Source organism: Homo sapiens, chromosome 20 (genome assembly GCF_000001405.40).
Source record: "Homo sapiens chromosome 20, GRCh38.p14 Primary Assembly".
NCBI lineage: Eukaryota > Metazoa > Chordata > Mammalia > Primates > Hominidae > Homo > Homo sapiens.
This window is the reverse complement of record NC_000020.11, coordinates 61662089-61680462: the sequence shown is the minus strand read 5'-3', so window position 1 is coordinate 61680462 and position 18374 is coordinate 61662089. Positions and strand designations below refer to the sequence as shown.

Below are 18374 nucleotides of genomic sequence, written 5' to 3'. Positions count from 1 at the left end.
TTCTCACTCTCCCCACAGCCTCCCATCACATTTCACCCTGAATGGAGGCCCTGGCCAGGGACCTTGGGGCAAGGTCACGGAGGCAGGAGCCACCTCCATCAGGCCATTTGGGCCTTGCCCAGCCCAGCGCCCCTCAGCCCTAGTGCGGGTCCCACAGCAGCTTCTTCCCCGTCTTAGTCCCAGCCTGGCACCCTGTCCCTCCTTATGGTCTGGATCCTGACACAGAGCCAGGGCTGCAGGGCTCCTGTGGAGGACAGGGGCAGGGGGTGGTGACTGGGCTATGGTGGAGCCCCTGGTCCTGGGGAGGTGGTGCTGGGTCCTGGGGTGCTTAAAGATGGCGTCTGTTCCTCGCTTCAGGATGCAGGGTGCAGCCCTGGGGCAGGGTCCTCCATGGCTTCCTGCTTCCCCTTTCCTCTCCGCCGGGTGCCCCAGGCTGTGGACAGGCTCCTCAGCTTCCTGGGGGCTGCAAGCTTCACTCGGGTACGAGGGTCTCCTCTTGGGGACTCTCAGGCTACCCGAGGCCCTGGGCAGTTCCCACTGACAGACAAAATGGCTCTCTCATGAGAACCTGGTGAAGAGCCTTGGAAGTCCACCCAGATGGGGGCCCTGAGAGCTAAAGCAAAGCTCCGGGGTCTGCTCCAGGTGGAATTAGCATGTGGTCCAGGTTTCTGCTGCAGGCCAGCGGGCTGCTGAAACCAGAACGTCCTTCCTAAGTCGGGAGCTACACACAGGGGCCACAGGCTCCCTCCTGGGCCTTGGCGTGCTCACAGCACCACCAGTGGCGGAAGATGATGGGGAGGCCCCTGCTCCCCACGCAGCTGCTCACCTGCCCCGCAGATCTTGATGGGTGCTGCTGTTAACCTCAGATGTCAGGAGAGGACCCTGACATCCCCAGCAGCTAGTGGCTTCCTGGGTGTGCACTGGCGTTGGTGGAGCTGGAACTGGAGTGCCATTCTTTCGGAATCTAGAGGAGCCTTCTGTGTTTTCTTGGACCAGTGGTCCTCAACGTGGGGTGCTGGGCCACAGCAGCGAGATCCCCAGGAACTTGATGAAAGTGCAAATACCTGGGACCCACCCCTCACCTCCAGGCCTGGCCCAGCAACTTGTGTTTTGACAAAAGCCCTCCAGGGGCCCTGACAAGCACTCAAATTTAGAACCTCTGTTCTATACTATGCTGCAAAAAAGCTGGAAAATAGAGTAAGAGAGACGAGGACACAGGGATGTGTTTTATGGAGGAAAGGAAGGCCATGAGGAGACAGAGATGGAAGGTGGACGCTGAGTGTGAACTGCAAACACCAGGCCATGCCACGCAGCCACTGACCCACCCAACCTGGTAGCATTTCTGACCCTTGTCACCGTGTGTGCTGTTCGCTCTTCCGGGCTCTGGGTGCGGCAGGAACAAGACAGATCCAACCGGAACCCTAGGCAACCTTCAGAGACACGTGTGAAATCCACAGGGCAAAAAGAAAACCTGAGTCATTTTCATACTCTCCCTCTTGGACACTGCAGGGATGAATAGTGTCCCCCAAATTCATGTCCTCCTAGAACCTGAGAATGGGACCTTATCTGCCAGTGTAATTAGAGGCAAGGAGAGTTGGAGCTCATGCTGGATCCAATGAGAGCATCCTCATAAGAAACAGAAAAGGACATACAGGGAGAAGATGGCTATGGGAGGCTGGAGGCAGGGATGGGGTGAGGCTTCCTCAAGCCACTGGACGCCAGGGCAGCTGGAGCCCCAGAGCTGAGTGGGGCTGCTGCGGACTCCCAGAGGAGCCTCCTGGGGGAGCTAGCCCTGCCCACACCTGGATTTCAGACTCCCGGCCTCCAGGACGAGGAGAGAAGATGTTTCTGTCATTTTAAGGTGCCCAGTTGGTGGCACTTGTTACTGCAGTGCAGGAAACTGACACGGGCACCCAGAAACTGCGTTGCTGAGATGCTTACTTTCCTGGCTACCTGGTGTCATTGCGCCCACCACACTTTCGCATTATTAATGTCTGTGACCTTGTTGATAGCTTTCCTGTCTACTTACTCTCCTTCTGAAGATTCTGAACCAATTACCCAGTTACCATCTTCAGAAAATTATGAAGCTACTTCTATATACCCATGTCTATACTGATCTACGTTTATATTTACCATCCATCCATCCATCCGTCCATCCATCCACCCATCCATCCATCATGTATCTATCTCATCTATCATCTATCATCCATCTATCTATCCATCCATAATCTATGTATCTGTCATCTGTGTATGTGTGGATGCATGCATGCATCTATCTATGTATCATCCATCCATCATCCATCATCCATCTATCTACCTATCCTTCTATCTTCCATCCGTCTTCTAATGTATCATCTATCATCCATCCAAAATATATGTTATGTGTGTATGCATGCAGCATCTATCATCCATCCATCATCCATCTATCTACCTATTTATCCATCTATTATCTATCTTCTGTCATCCATCTATGTATCATCTATCCATCTATCTATAATTTATTATCTATCATCCATTCCTCCAAACATCCATCATCTATCTAATGTATCTATCACCTATCATTTATCATCCATCATCCATCATCTATCCATCATCTATCCATCTATTATCTATCTAGCCTATCATCTGTCCTCCATCCACTATCCATCTATCTTCCATCCATCATCCATGTATCTATCCATTCATCATCTATCTAACCATCCATCCACCTATCCACCCATCCACCTGCCTACCTGCCTATCTTCTATCATCCATCCATCCGTCCGTCTGTCCGTCCGTCCGTCTGTCCACCCACCCACCCACCCACCTACCTACCCACTTATCCTTTTGTCATTAGAATGCATCCCACTAACCTCTCTTAACTTGGATCTGAGGGGGATGTGCCTGCTGCAGAAGGAGGTAGTCTGAATGAGTAAAAAAATCTAAAGTGTAAAGTGCTGTGTTTTTTTGTTTAAAAAAGACAGTTGTATTATCGTCAGGTCTATACATTGACACCAACTATAACACATTAACAAAAAGTAAAAGTGAACTGCATGCTGTGAGGCAGGAGTCTGGAGGGAAGGCCCTCCCACAGAAGGGAGGCCGCTTTCTCTGTGTGCCTGGTGCTGAGGGTTGAGCACGTTTGCTGCCTGCAAATGGCGCTGCTCGTGCATTGCATACAGGCTGTCATCTTAAGTAAGTTAAATGCCCTTTTCCTGTACTTGAATCTGAACCAGGAGTCTGCCCTGCTCGCAGATATCACAGAGGCCAGGGCCCTGCTCCTTCCCCTACTCCAGCCAGCTCCACCCTGGGGAGTCCCAGCAGTCATTCTTCCTGCGTATACTGCACACCCCAGGGGTCCTCAACTCCAAGGCTCCCTACCGCATGCGGAGTAAAAGGTATGGTCCTCATGACAGGTGACAAGGCCCTACGAAGGACCTACTGCACCTGTCCTCTCTCTGTCTGGTCCTCAGCACCCTCCTGGTCTGCTCTGCTGGGGCCACACCACAGCCCCTCCTGCCCCAAGGTCTTGGACCGCTGGTCCCACTGCAGCCTGGCCCACCACCTCACCCCATCAGGTCCTCCAGCAGAGGCCACCCAGTCAGGCCTCCCCTGGCAAAGGCCACCCAGCCAGGCCTCCCCTGACCTCCCCTTGGACAACAGCAACCCCCTTCCACTCCAAGCCTCATCCTGATCCCACTTTCCCTTTCTCGCAGCAAACACCACCTTCTGAAATGCAGCATCATTTACATTTGTATTACATCAAGGTTTATCATCTGGTCACTTCCATAGGCTCCTGGGGGTGTGTGGGATTGAGTTTGTTTGTTGAGGGCATGTGCAGAGAATTGAGAGAATGCCAGGTACACTCAGTGAACCCTGGCTGGGTGCACAGAGCCAGGGCACTGTCACAGCCTGACCCGGGGTCTCCAAGCAGACCCATCCCTGCAGACAAGGAGTTTTCTCACCTCCCTTTTGTCTGTCCCCCTCCACCCTGCTCCTAAAGGGGTAGACCCAGGAGGAGGGAGCCCCGGGCCTCCATTGTTCACACCATCCCTCCCCCATCCACCTTCTTTTTCAGGTAAAGATGGATGCCTTGGAAGATCCAAATTGGAATGGAAAGAAGGTGCTAATGCAATCCCACCTCCTCTGGGGGCCGCAGTATTCAATCGCACTATTCATTTCCTAACCTGAGTTTTATAAAGATTGTCTTTGTGGCTGGCAAATAGACTTGAGTCAATTACAGCCCACCGTTCCTGACCGTTCCTGACACCAGGCGAATGTTAATGGGAATGACGGAAGGATGTGATTTTCTGCACGTGCAAATTCGAACTGGCAGGCCCCATTCAGAGAACCTGGAATTAAGTCTCAGACCTTGGACCCCACACTCGGTCCTCGCTGAGGCTCCCCCCACCGACTGCCCAATTACATTATCTGTGACATCCTGAGGCCGTCTGAGGGTCCTAAGCAGGCAGTGCCAGGAGCCTGAGCCTGTGCTCTGGGCAGGAGGAGGGGAGAGCTGGGCTGAGTGTGCAGTGGGCCTCCAGGTAGAGCAACCCTCCACAGTGCAGGTGGGCCTTTTGGAAAGCACAGTGAGGGGCACCCTGGCCTCAAACTCTGAAAGCACGGGAGTGCTTGGCTGAGCCCAAAGCCTCAGCCCCTGCGATGGTTGTTTCCACGGGAGTGCTTGGCTGAGCCCAAAGCCTCAGCCCCTGCGATGGTTGTTTCCACGGGAGTGCTTGGCTGAGCCCAAAGCCTCAGCCCTACGATGGTTGTTTCCACGGGAGTGCTTGGCTGAGCCCAAAGCCTCAGCCCCTACGATGGTTGTTTCCACGGGAGTGCTTGGCTGAGCCCAAAGCCTCAGCCCCTACGATGGTTGTTTCCACGGGAGTGCTTGGCTGAGCCCAAAGCCTCAGCCCCTACGATGGTTGTTTCCACGGGAGTGCTTGGCTGAGCCCAAAGCCTCAGCCCCTACGATGGTTGTTTCCACGGGAGTGCTTGGCTGAGCCCAAAGCCTCAGCCCCTGCGATGGTTGTTTCCACGGGAGTGCTTGGCTGAGCCCAAAGCCTCAGCCCCTACGATGGTTGTTTCCACGGGAGTGCTTGGCTGAGCCCAAAGCCTCAGCCCCTACGATGGTTGTTTCCACGGCAGTGCTTGGCTGAGCCCAAAGCCTCAGCCCCTACGATGGTTGTTTCCATGGGAGTGCTTGGCTGAGCCCAAAGCCTCAGCCCCTACGATGGTTGTTTCCTTCTCCCCAAAGCAGAGGTGGGCACAACACCGTCTAACCCTGTCCCTGAGCTGTCCTCCACCCAACCTCATGCCACATCTACCAGCTGCAGGGATTTCTGCCAAAAAACAGCAGCCTGTCACACGTCGCTCAGACCTAGCCCCTTCCTGCACTGCTAGAATGAAGACCCCATTCTATCTCTGTCTAGAGCAGAAGGCAGCAAGCATTTTCTGTAATGGATCAGGCAGTACATATTGTGGGTGGGTGGGCCACAATGTCTCTTTCTAATTGCTCACCTGGTCCACAGCAGAGGCAAAGGCAGCCACAGACAATACGTACAGGAATAGGTATGGCTGTGTGCCAATAAAACTTTATTTACAAAATAGGCAGGGGGCCAGACTTGGCTTGAGGACTGTAGGTTGCTGACGACCACAGTCTAGGTTCTAGGGCTGTGCTGGTTCTAACTGGGCTGAGCAGTCAATCAGCATGAAATACACATAAGGCTTTGCAGTCCTCACTCCCCAAAATGAATGTCAGATTTCGCATGAACAATTTTTCATATGGACTGGATGTTGAAAGAACATTTTGGATATATTGGGTTAAATAAAATATAGCATTAACAAGGATGTTGCCTGTTTTACTTTTTTGAATGTGGCTCCTGAAAATTTAAGAATACAGAAGCGCTCTTATGCCATTTCTATGGGACTGTGCTGGTGGAGGTGGCCCCAAGTGGTGGGCCCTGCTGAGCACTGGGCCCAGGGTCTCTTGAGCAGCCGGCTTCTCCTGCTCCCTGTGAACTGTCATGTGTCCTTCCCATTGTCTGCACGAAAGGCCTGCTGCCTGTCACTCCCAGCCTTCTAGTTAATGCCCACCCTCCTTAGCCTGATGCTGCTTCCACAAGGGCCCTGGTCTGGACGCCCTGTGACCAGCACGACACAACATGCTGTGACTCCTGCTCCAAGCTCGGCACCCCTCCCTCCACCTCTCCTCCACCTCGCCCTTGTCACCCTGTGTCTCTCCGCCCCACGGGACTCGGGGCAGCTCAGGCTTGGGGCTCCACTAGTCTTGGCTCTTCCTTGCGTGTGCTGTGCTGGGCTCGGTGCCTGGCCAGGCAGGCTTGGGGAGTATTTGCTGAACAGATTCTGGGCTGCAGAAGAAAGCTAGGGAATAAGGTCTCATTTGCACACCCCCAAAACCAGGCAGCCCTTTCAAGTCATGTGAAAAACAGGTTTGTTCCCGATCAGGCCTTCTTTTGAGGACTTCCATTTGTTTCTCTTAAGATATATGTTAAGACTGAAAAATGTAATCTTTCAATGGGTGCCAATTTGGAGGAGATCGTCACAGGATGCAAATGCAAGGACTTTGATTTCCTGAAGGACATTTTCCCTGACTTCTGTCTCATTTTGTCATATTGTCTAGAAGAGAGATGTGATTTTTATTTCCCCCTTAGCAGCGAGGTAATTTGCGCGTGTTATTTGCTCTGTGGGCATCTCCATAACCCATTTTGAATTTATTTCATGATGTCTCTTGAAAGCACCATGAACCTGAGACATGCTGAATCAGACTAATGAACTCTGCACTCAACCGCCAGACCCTCCCCAGCCTGCCAGGCTGGTCACCCAGGAAGGATGGATAAATATTCAAGAACGGGCGGCCTTCTGGGCCCTGGACACGTGTTCTTGAGATAATGAGACCTTAACAAAGATGTAGCTGCTCCCACGGAATATCAGACCTGACATTTCATCTAAGGTGAAAACCGCCAGGCTCCTCAACTGCCTCCTTGCTTGCTAGGAGCAGAAGGGCAGGGCCCAGGCACGCAGCCTCCCTGTGTGCCCCACGGTGATAAGCACCATGCCCTTCACGTGGGCCTTTAAAAGGAGGCACAAAAAGATTGCCCCGGAAGCAGGTGCTGGCCCTGAGCTGTCCTTGGATTCCTTCCAGGATGGACTCATGCTGCAGCTGCCGCTGAGATTCAGGGGCTCCGAAGTCCTGAGCCTCCTAGGGCTGCTCTGATGATAACCACAAGTCTGGTGGCCAAAAACATCTCAGCGCTCTAGAGGTCACTGTGCAGGAGGGGCAGCTGAAGTCAAGGTGTGGGCAGGGCTGCGTTCTCTCTGGGGGCTCCAGGCCAGAAAGCCCTTCCTTGTCTTTCCAGTTTCTAGAGGCCGTCTGCATCCCCACTCCTGGTCCTGCCTTCATCCTCAAGCACAGCATCTTCCAATCTCTCTCTCTGATGCTATCTTTGTCTTTCTCTCTGCGTCTCTTTCTTTCTCTGTCACTCTCCTGCCTCCTTCTTCTTCTTCTATGGACACTAGTGATGGCATTTAGGACCCACTGGATAACTCAGGATGACCTCCTCCTCTCCCCACCTCTTCCCCTCCCCTCAGGCCTGCGCCTCACCCATTCCCTTCTTGATCCCTGTCAGGTTGCAGTTCCCAGCTGAGCAGGGACACAGGGCCCCAGTCCTTGAGCCCCGTCGGGTTCCCAGGGATGCTCCATAATCTTCTCCCACCCCTCCCAGTGAAGATTCCAGTCTCTGCCAGTGACCCTGAGGGATGCTCAGCACCAACTCCCACCCTTGGCAGATGCCTCACTGTCCACCCCAGAGACTCGGCTCAGACTTGCTGCCCCTCCCGTGGTCTCAGGTGTTGTCCTGACTATGGGCAGTTTCACTCATTGGAATCACACCTCATTTCTCACAGAGCCCTTACTACACAGCAAGCACAGTGCTGGAGGTGGAAGCTGTGAACACACTTCACGGACAGGGCCTACCCTCTTGTGCAACACATACACACCTGATTGAAGTCTGTGTGTCTGACTTTGCGGAGGGCTCCTTGATGGACTGGGCTTTGCATAATTCGTCTTGGAATCTCCAGGACAGGGACAGCACCTGGCACACAATCCTACCACGTACAGAGCACCTGATATGCTTTTGGAGGAATATTCTGTCCATCCACACACCCATCCATCCACTCACCCGTTCATCTGTTTATCCACCCACCCACCCATCTACCGATACGATCATCCATGCATTCATACACCCATCTATCCATCCATCATCCATCCATTATCCATATACCCACCCATTCATCTATCCATCAACCCATCCACCCATATGATCATTCATCCATCCTTTCACCTGCCCATACACTCATCCAACCACCTACCCACCCACCCACCCACCAATCCACTCATCCATCCATCTATTTATCTATCTATCCACCCATCCACCCATCTGTCCATACATCCATACATCCAACCACCCATCTATTCATCCATCTATCTACCCGCTTATTCAACCATACATCCATCCACCATCTATCATCCATCCATCCTGCATCCACCTACTCATCCATCCATCCATCCTCCATCTGTCCATCCACCATCCATCCATCCATTCATCCATCCACCTTCCACCCATGCATCCATCCAATCCACCCAGCCACCTACCCATCCATCATCTATCCATCGATCCATTGATCCATCATCCATCCACACACCCACCCATCATTCATTCATCATCCATCCACCCATCCATTCATTTATCCATCTACCATCTATCCACCCACCCACCCATCCATCCACCATCCATCCATTATCCATCCATTCACCCATCTATCCACTCATCTACACACCCATCCATCCATCTACCCATCCATCCATCCACCCGTTCATCATCCATCCACAAACCTATCATCCGTCTATTATTCATCATCCATCCATCCATTTGTCCATCTATCCATCCACTTATTCTTTTTTTTCTAGAGACCAGGTCTCACTCTGTTGCCCACGCTGGAGTGCAGTGACACGATCACAGCTCACTGCAACCTTGAACTTCTGGGCTCAAGCAATCCTCCTGCCTCAGCTTCCCAAGTAGCTAGGACTACAGGTGTGTGCCACTGTGCCCAGCTAATTTTTAAAATTAATTTTTGTAGAGACAGGATCTTTCTATGCTGCACAGGCTGATTTCAAACTCCTGGCCTTAAGCCATCCTCCTGCCTTGGCCTCCCAAGGTGTTGGGATTACAAGCATGAGCCACTGCACCTGGTCCACTTATTCTTTATCCATCCATCCAATGATCCATCCATTCATCCACGGATCCACCCACCCATCCACCCAACCATCATGCATCCACCCATCCACCTATTCATCATCCATCCACCCATCTACCCATCCCTCCATCTACCTATCCATTCACCCTTATGCCATACACACTCGACTGTTAACTGTGCAGCCGGATTTGATATGTACATGTAATTCACTAAGGGCAGGGACCAGAGTTTATACCTGGACACTCACAGGTTTTTTAGGGCTGAGTCTGTTTTCCTCAGTCTTACCTCCTAGGGGCCCTTCCTTTTGTGGAGAAGGCCTTGGAGCTGAGATGCAGCAAAACCTGTTTGGAACCCCTCACTCCACTGATCCCAGCCCCTTCCTTCCTTTCTATCCCGTATCAACAGGAGAACAGTGCCCCAGACTTCCCCACATTTCCATCCCTTTCCCTCATCCTCGTTGACACCCTGGGCCCCACCCATAAGAATGGCCACAGAAGTCATGGGAATCCTCACAAACCACTTTGATTTTGCTTTTCCTGAACAGCCTCATCAGCCTCGCACTCCCCATACAAAAACAAGTGCTTTGCACTTTTTCCAGCATCCTCCTAGAGTGCTGGACAAAGCTTTGGATGTTTCCCTCCTCTTTTGGCAATGGTACCTCCAGTATTCGGTAGGGAACCACTCCTTTGTTATCTTGGTCCATTTGGTGAATGGGCTGACTTCACCCTTGGCTCCATCAGGGGACACGTGATGCTGGTCTGGCCAGTGCACAGAGGCCATGGCCTAGACCCCATGACCAGGTCAGAGGTGGATATATGACTGAGGCTGGGACAATGACAGTCACTCCCAATATTTTCCTGGAACTATGGGGGAAGAAAACAGTTTTTCTCTTCCTACTGAACTTTAAGGACAGAAGTCAGAAGCTGTTGGGGACCAGCATGGGGGTGAGGACCTGCCTGAGCACAGAGTCAACTCAAAGGGAAGCAGCGAGAGCTTGTTGGTGGTGTTGCAGAGCACCTGAGTCTAGCCATTCCTGAAATCCATATTTCCCTGCATGTCATGTGGCAGCCATGCTGTCCAGCTACTCGGAGCTATGGTTTTATTGCCTGCAATTGGAAATGCCCTGGCCAGCATCTGCCTCCTGTCAGCACCACCTTTGGGGGTCATGCATTCCTCATACTCATTAGATCAGCTCCTGCTAGAAAGGGTATTAATGCTGCAGCCTGGCCGATCCACACAGCTCGAGGGTCCACACTGTCTCAGGCTGCCTCCCATGCTTGGAGCTCAGGTCCACCAGTGACCTCATGGGAGCAGAACCCGCTCTTCTATTTGCTCCCAGAGCCGTGTCCTGCATAGATTTATACAATTTATTTATACTGAAATGTCACATCCCATCCTGGATCAGTCTCTCAAAAATACAGCTGTCAGAAGTTATTTTCATTAAAGTCTTTTGTAGCGGAGGGTACGGGAAGATTGAGAGGGAGGACCCTCTTTTGCCAGCAAAAGGAAGAGCATTTAAAGAAAAAGATCACTCTGGCTCAGTGGTAGATTTGACTTTCAGGAAAGAGCTTCTCTTCTCCAGGAACATTACACACCGGATAAGTTTCTGATGGGATTTGAGCCACCCTTCTTCAGTTTTCCTTCCATTCTTTACTTCCTCTGGGCTTGAAAACAGGGGCTGAGGCATAGGCCACCTAAGTTCCAATTAAATCGACAGCCTCCACTCCTGCTGAAACCCTCAGAGGCTCCCAGTGATGTGAGAATAAACCCTAAGTTCCCTCCTGGGTGCATTCTCCCTCCAAGGCCCTCTGTGGCCTGGGCCCTCCTCCAGGCTCCCATTCCCATCCCGCCGGTCACCAGATGGTGGACCTGCTAGGCTTTGCCCTGGCCCAGGCTTGCCTTGGCACTTGTGGTGCTCGCTGTGTGGGGTGCCGGTGCTGCATCCTCCACGGGACTGGCTCCCTTTAACTCTCCAGGCCCACAGTCACATGTCTTTGGGGAAGCCTGTCCTCTCCATCCCATAGTGCTCTGAATGCCCTTCACAGGGAATTATTGCCCCGAGGTGTGCCCATGCCCGCTCCTTAACTTACTGCTGGAGAACGTGGGTTCCAGGAGGCCCAGGGCTATGGCAGGCACCATCCCCGAGGGTGAAGGAAGGACCTGACCTGCCGCCGGCCTGCCGCAGCCCTGAGCTTCGCTGGACAGGGGTCCTCCTGGAACACCTGTCCCACTGGCTTCCCAGGGTTGTCCCAAGGACAGACTGGAGAGAGGGGCTGGCGGACGGTGCTCTGATGAGAACAGGCGGGTGCTGGTGGAAGGCACCCGGGCCTGCTGGTGGATCCTAAGTACGTTTTCCTTGCATCCTTTCCTTTCTCCCTGGATGATTCTGCAATAGCACTCAGCAGTGGGAAGCAAGAAGCGGTAAGTGGAGGGCCCAGGGGCCTGGAACCAGCATCCCCCTGGAGTGCAGACATGCAGTGCAACCTTCTCTGAAGACCTGGGCTTTGATCCTACAGCAGTGAAGCTCCCAGGCTGCTTAACCTTGGGTGTGCCATTTCACCTCTCTGACCCCAGTCTCTTTTTCTCTCATGGGGCTGGGGGAATGTACACAGGAGGAGTTGCCCTGGACAGCAGTGGCCAGCAGGTGCTGGCAGCCTGGACAACCCAGCACCATCAGACTCCACAGCATGCACATGGGCCCCAGTGGTGAGCACGCCCCACGACAGCCTCCAGCAGGGGCAGCTGGTTCCACAGGGCACTGCTTTGGCTTCTAAAATCTGGATTCACCGTGTGTTCTCAGGGTCATGTGCAGAGGGTTTTGTGCTTCCTTTTCCAGGCAGGTGCATCCTCTGCGGCTTCGGGGCAGCCTGGGCTAAATTCCCCCTGCCTGCACATGCATGTGCGTGTCTGTCTGTCAATAGAGGGATAAACATCCACCCACATGCACACACCCATTTGCACCTACAGCTTCCAGCTCCTCCCGCTAGATAAATACACACTAACACATGGGCGCACACAGCATAAAAGCTCGGCTTCCCTGGGATGATACCCAACCTGACCTCTGGAGGAGAATAGGGCTTTTCTTCTCTTAGGGTTGGAGAATTTAAAAGATAGCAGGGACCTAACAAATTAGGAATGCTCACTCTTTTCAATATAGAAGCACTTAGCATCTCTCTGGTCTTAGAAGCCTTGGGCAACAAAGTGCTTCCAGCCTCTCAAGAGCACTTACTCTAATGTCTGCAATGATCATCTCCCTGGCTGCCCTCCTGACAGCCACATGCGACATTTGGCAGCCTCAGACTTGGTGGGGTCCCTCCGCCTTGCAGTCTTGCTTTTAAGACGTGCATTTCCTGTTCAGAACGAGTTCCTTGCTCCTCTGCCCTTGCATTCATTCACTCTTCCTGGCCTGCTTGTCCAGGAAACTCACCGAGGACCCAGCAGCAAGGTCAGTGGGCTGAGAGCAGGATATAGGGCACATAAAGACCCGAGTCCAGCCCGACCCCTTCCATTGCCTCCCAGGGCATGAGTGTGCATGCACGTGTGCAGGTGTGTGTGTGTGTGCCACACACAAAGCCCAGGCCCTACCCAGTCCTGGGCCATCACCTCCCAGGGTGTGTGTGGGGGCACACGTGTATGCTCACATGTGCAGCTGGTGCAGTGGGGCCGTCTGGGCGCATTATGCCAGCATCTGGTGCCGGCCACCCTCTCTGGAAACAGGTTTGAAAGCGGAAAGATCCGCCTTTGAGTCCCAAGTCACTTTCTGGCTCTGTGACCTTTGACATGCAACCCCGCTTCTCTGTTCCCCGGTTTCCTCATCTGTCAAGAGGGCTCATGGTGGTCCCTGGCTCACAGAATGGTGAGGATGGTGTGCATAGAAATGCTGCATGCGGAGCCCCAGGGTGGGCGGGATGTGCATCGAGGGCTCCGTGAGCAGGGCCATCCCGGCCGACTGTTTCTCCACATACCTGGTTGCCCAAGACCCTCTCAGCCTTCCTGAGGGTGGGGTGGCCCCATGCTCCCTGCCTCCCACACCACTGTGGCTCCAGGTGCTGGCTTGACCGGCCCCTTCTTTGCCTCCATCACATTGTCCCAATTTTCTCTGATCAAGCACATCCACAGGGACCCTGGGTGCAGCTTATGAGATGGTGGCGTCATGCCCAAAGGGCACGGTCCATACAGACTGTGGTGCCAGCACTGCGTGGGCTGCCAGGGAGCAGTCGTCTGGACATACAGACTGACCGGGTGTGCGGGTGAGGGATGCTTCTCACCCTTCTCCAGGCTTTGCTCAAGACAGCACCCCCACCCTGGCAAGTGTAACCACACTCCCAGGGGAAGCGGAAGCTGGGCCCAGACTCTGCTGTCTTCGGATTCATGCCTCTTTCACCCTTTCCTGACAGTGAGCTGTGAGCAGCTTCCTGCCACTGTGGCCGGCAGATTCCCAACACCCCATCGAGGGTAAGATCTGGTCAGCCAGGAGCTGTGTGTGGAGAGTGGCGATCTGGGGCGGAGGGGGTTCTCAGGGCTCTGCAGGGGGATGGGATCCCTCCTGGAGTCCCTAGTCCTGCCTGGGCTGGCCCTCCGGAAGCAACAGTTCTGCGGATGTGGCCTCTGTGAGCCCTAGGCCTCAGCTCCGTCCTCCATGTGGACTCTGAATTCAGTGGACCTCGGCCAGCATCAGCCATGCCATCATCCTCCCTCTGTAGGGAGTCTGTCCGCCTGAGCCCATGGCTGTTTTCATGGAAGTCATAGCATTGATGCCTGTGCACTGCCAGTGGGATTGGCTCCAGCACCAAGGGCAGAAGTGGATTTCTTCGGGCTGCAGGGACGCAGTGGCCCTGGCTGTGCCGGCAGCAGCTGGTGTTCACTTAGCAGCTTTTCTTCAGGTGAATTTCAAGTTCGTCTACAGGGCCGACTCCCCAGCTCCAGGCACCGTGGCTCTCATCTGTGCAGCCATCTCTTGTGGGGAGGCATGACTGCTGTTGGACAAAGTGTGGCAACAGCCACCCCACTTTTTGGCAGGGAAAATCAAGAATAGCCTGACGATGAGGGCAGGAGGCCATGGCCTTACTTGCAAGCCAGGATTAAGATGGGGCTTGCAGTTTCTGTCTGCCGTTTTGGAAAACACAAGTGGGATTTGGGCCCCAACGTCCATTTGGGTGGGGCTGGCTGGATGGTATGGGATGGCCAGGGTCAGCGTTTGGAGTCCCCAGCCATTCTCCCACCTGGACCCCGCCCAGAACTGCAGGAACCAACCTTCCAACGCGTGACCTTAATATGTAGCCGCAGGTGCCCCTCGGTCCCACCGCTGCGATTTTCCTGGGCTTCCTGACAGCCAATATCGCTTGGCAGATTCCCAGGGTCCAGAGAATGCAGCTGTGGTTTGCTGGAGGACCGTGTACGCTGTGCATGCAGCAGCCACCAGCCTGCCTGTAGACACTCAAAGGTCGGAGATAAATCCGATGTTAGGTGACCCCCGTGTATTGTAAGACAGCTCAGCTGCCCTTGGCTGCGTGCACACCTCATCAAAAATGAATAAACATGAGCCTGCCGGGAGCACTCGTTCGCATCCATCATCACAAAGCGCTGCTGGTGGATGCTCCAGGCCCCTCCGCCTGGGACGTGAGCTTCATGGGGGGAATTTATCACCCACTAGGAGATCTGACGGGGACCTCGGCTCTCCGAAAAGGGAGAACCCAGGGAAAGAAGGCACTCTGCAAATTCAAAGGCAAACCCTTGATGAGAAACTACCCTGGTCTTTGCGGGCAGCCTCCCCTCAACCCACAGTTGCACATCCAGGCTGCTTTTGTTTTTAGCATCGCTTAACTGATGAAAGGTCAAATTGTTGGGTATGCCATTTCACGAGTGAGCATTAAGCACCCTGGCCAAGCCAGAGAACAGCAGAAACAGCTGCCGAATTGAAGGGCGGGAGCCCTGGTGGCAGCTTCCTGGGTCTGGAGGCCAAGGCCGCCCCCAGCCCACCAGCATGGTGCTCGCCTTCCCGTCTGTGATGTGTGACCAAGACGCCACTATCAGCTCAACAGACACGGGCCCTTCAGGCTGCGGCACCCGGATCCGGCTGGATTGTCCTTCTCAACTCGTCCCACCTCCCTTCTGACTCAGGGAGGAGCCACCCGTGCCAGCGACGTCCCCACGTGGTGACATCCTGGCAGCTAGAGATTTTCATTTACTCAATCTCAGACGAATGGGTTGGTAGAAGTAATTTCAACTGTCAAACTTATTTTCTGGGCAGCCTCTTTGTTCAGATATGATGACTGTTGCTAATTTCAAGAAACTTCATTCAGTTCATGCTGCTTTCCTCTTCCAAATAAGTGTTGAAAAGATTGGTCTAAATTGTGGACACCAAGACGCCACATTAGAGCAACAGATTATGGATTTCTTGGGAGTCTGCTGATTTCTCAGCAGGCAGACCCCTGGAAGGAAGGAACTGGGGCAGGGTGTTTGAGGTGGAAGCCTGGGCTCTGAGCCAACGTCCACAGATGTCACTGGAAGAATCTTGGCTGAGAGAACTTCTCTGGGCTGCCCAGGCTCTATCTCTGAACACAAGCATCTCAGGGAGTAGAAGTGTTCGTGTGAGGGTCTTGGGGGCAAGACCTGCTCCTGGGTCTCTTGATGCGGTGTGGGTTCTCAGCTTTCCGCATGCTGCTTTAAAACCAGACTCCTGGGCCCGGCTCCCAGCCCGGCTGATGCAGGCTGCTGCATTTTCGGAGATCTTCAAGGAAGAATGCTGCAAAGGCCGCGGTGTTCAGCCACACAGGAGTGGGGACCAGCTCTCCCCATGCCCCAGCTGTGGTTTCTGCCCCCACCCCACTCCCAGGCCCAGGAGTCCCCTATCCTTCCCATCCTGCTTTTGACTTAAAACTAGCAACAGGAATAAACAAGGGGCCATTGCAATGCCTGGGGCATGTGGATGTCAAGAGGCAGGTGACAGCACAGCTCCAGGAGGGTGGGCGGACAGGCCCAGGGTCTGCCTTGGACTTGCTCTCCCAGTGGGTGGATTCTAGAGGCAAGTGGTGTGACCCTGTGCAGGGAGGCATTTCCACTGGGGAGAGGCTGGGATGGCCCACGGTGCAGGGTCAGTGGAAATCACACATGCAGGGCGTCCTCTCTGGCACTGACTGAGGCCCGGTCAGCCCCCACACAATGCCCTTGGACCCCTCAGCACCTGTCACCAGGCCTGGTCTTCATGGTGCATGTCTACGGAAGGGTCCCGGTGGCACACAGACACCTCAACGTGGACCGGTGCTGGACAGAGGACAGTGTCACTCTAAACTGCCGCGGGCACAGATGCTGGCGCCAGCGGTGGGAGTGTGGAGGGCCAGGGCGGCCTCGAGGGAGCTGGAAGACCCAGCGTGGGAGTGACTGGTGATTGGTTTACCCCGTGTTCAGTGGTGCCCACATTGTGCAGCCTGGACACCGGGAGCTCCTGATCTTCCCCCGACCCCGCGTCTGTCAGCCCTGCCTGGTTCTGCACGTCCTTCCTCAGTACCGCCAGCTCCCGCCGGGAAGACAGCACTCCCTGCTCTCCTCGAGTCCCCGCTTCCCCTGGGCAGCCAAGATGGTCTCTTGGACACACACACCCGGTCCTGCCGTCCCAGCAGCTCCCGACTCACTTGGGATAAAATCCAGCCCCACTGCCCCCTGCCCTGTTCACCTTCCTCCGGCCCCTCTGACCCACTCGGCGGCATCCCCAGCATTGGCATTTCTAGGACCCTCGCCTGAAATGCCCCCGACCCAGAGCCTTCAGAATTATTGTCTTTTACGCAGCTCTTTTTCTAGGTTTCAGCGCAAACACTGCCTCCTCAGAGAGGCCTCCCAACGCTTGTCCGCAGCAGCCCCTGCCCCAGCGTCACCCTCCCAGGAGCTCCGCAGCACAGGCCTCCTGCGGGTGCCACTCCTTTCCTGCGTGGACTCATTTGTCGTGGGCGCCAAGCCCTCGATGAAAGCTCCTCTGGGACAGGGGCTTTGTCACAGAACGTTTACCTCATCAGTCCACACACGGAGGCGTGGACACTCATGGAGCTGCAGGCCCAGTAGCCTCATTTCCATTTCTCCTCCAGTCAATATTTTAACAATGGTTTGCTTCATGTCGACACTGCCTGCGCTGGGCAGCATTGTCATCAATACCATGGTGGAGGGGGAGGTGAGTCAGGGCCATGGGTTCTACCCCGGGCCGCTGTGCCAGTGCCTGTGGGGAGGGGAGGAGGAGAGGCCCTGAGGGACAGGCAGAGTCTCAGTGGACAGAGATGGGTGCTGAGTCAGGGACCGCTAACAGTCCTCTGCTGGACCTGTGTCCCGATCCTGGGCCTGCACCACCGGCTCTACCCTGTAGGCGGACATGGAGATAGGAGGGCAGGGCACTGTGTGAGCCTCCCTGGGGTGCTGCAGGAAACGGTACCTCCCATTTGCGTGCACAGGTACCCTCGCCATCCCGAGTCTTGCTGGCCGGAGTCCAGGTGAGCCGCCCTGTGTTGGCCACGCGAGCAGCTGGGCACAGCTTCACCTCAGACACTGTCCGTTCCTCTCTCTAATCAGCCTGGGGACTGAGTGCACTTGACGCCCTGCGAGATGTCCTTTCCTCACGCCCCAGTCCTCCAGGCACACAGCCACAGCTGGGGACTCAGGGGGCCTCTGTGTGCTCGTCCTGTGCCCCCCAGCCCCCAGCTCCTGTCCCTTTCAGTCCGAGTCTCATTCAGGCTTCTCTTCCCTGTGCCTTTGGGCAGCCGCCCTCGTCCTCCCAAGCTCGGAATGGTGAAGCCGCGCACGGAGCTGAGAACGTTGAGGACAGGTTGTTTCATCATTAATTGGACAGCACAACCTGGTGCTACACTTGCCCTGACAGAGGTTGCGCTGTGCGGCTCCAGGAAGCCAGCGATGGCTCCAGAAAGGGGCCCAGGGCCTACCTCTGCCACGGCCATTCCCACGCGCTCTCACCAAGCAGTCCAGCGCAGGTCCAGTTTGGAAGAACTCTGTCTTTACAACTTCCCTCAAAGCATGGTCTACCAGCATCGATCACACACCAGGCCATGGCAGATTAGGGGGGTCAGTTGGGGTTCAAAGGGGAGGTCTGTGCCTGTGGTGGGGGATGGAAGGCTGCTTCT

General features: G+C 54.6%; 1 protein-coding gene across 5 annotated transcripts in view, besides 2 other annotated features; it reads right to left on the bottom strand.

The window, feature by feature from the left end:
* CDH4 (cadherin 4) overlaps positions 1 to 18374 on the bottom strand; it is a 688357-nt gene that overhangs the window by 260155 nt on the left and 409828 nt on the right. The gene's annotated exons all lie outside the window — the stretch shown is intronic.
* Positions 17311 to 17824: an enhancer, noted in NCBI's record as "H3K4me1 hESC enhancer chr20:60237695-60238208 (GRCh37/hg19 assembly coordinates)". NCBI's record gives its function as "activates a minimal SCP1, AML or CMV promoter by ChIP-STARR-seq in primed H9 embryonic stem cells {active_cell/tissue: H9 hESC(primed)}" and the evidence as "EXISTENCE:reporter gene assay evidence [ECO:0000049][PMID:30033119]".
* Positions 17825 to 18338: an enhancer, noted in NCBI's record as "H3K4me1 hESC enhancer chr20:60237181-60237694 (GRCh37/hg19 assembly coordinates)". NCBI's record gives its function as "activates a minimal SCP1, AML or CMV promoter by ChIP-STARR-seq in naive H9 embryonic stem cells {active_cell/tissue: H9 hESC(naive)}" and the evidence as "EXISTENCE:reporter gene assay evidence [ECO:0000049][PMID:30033119]".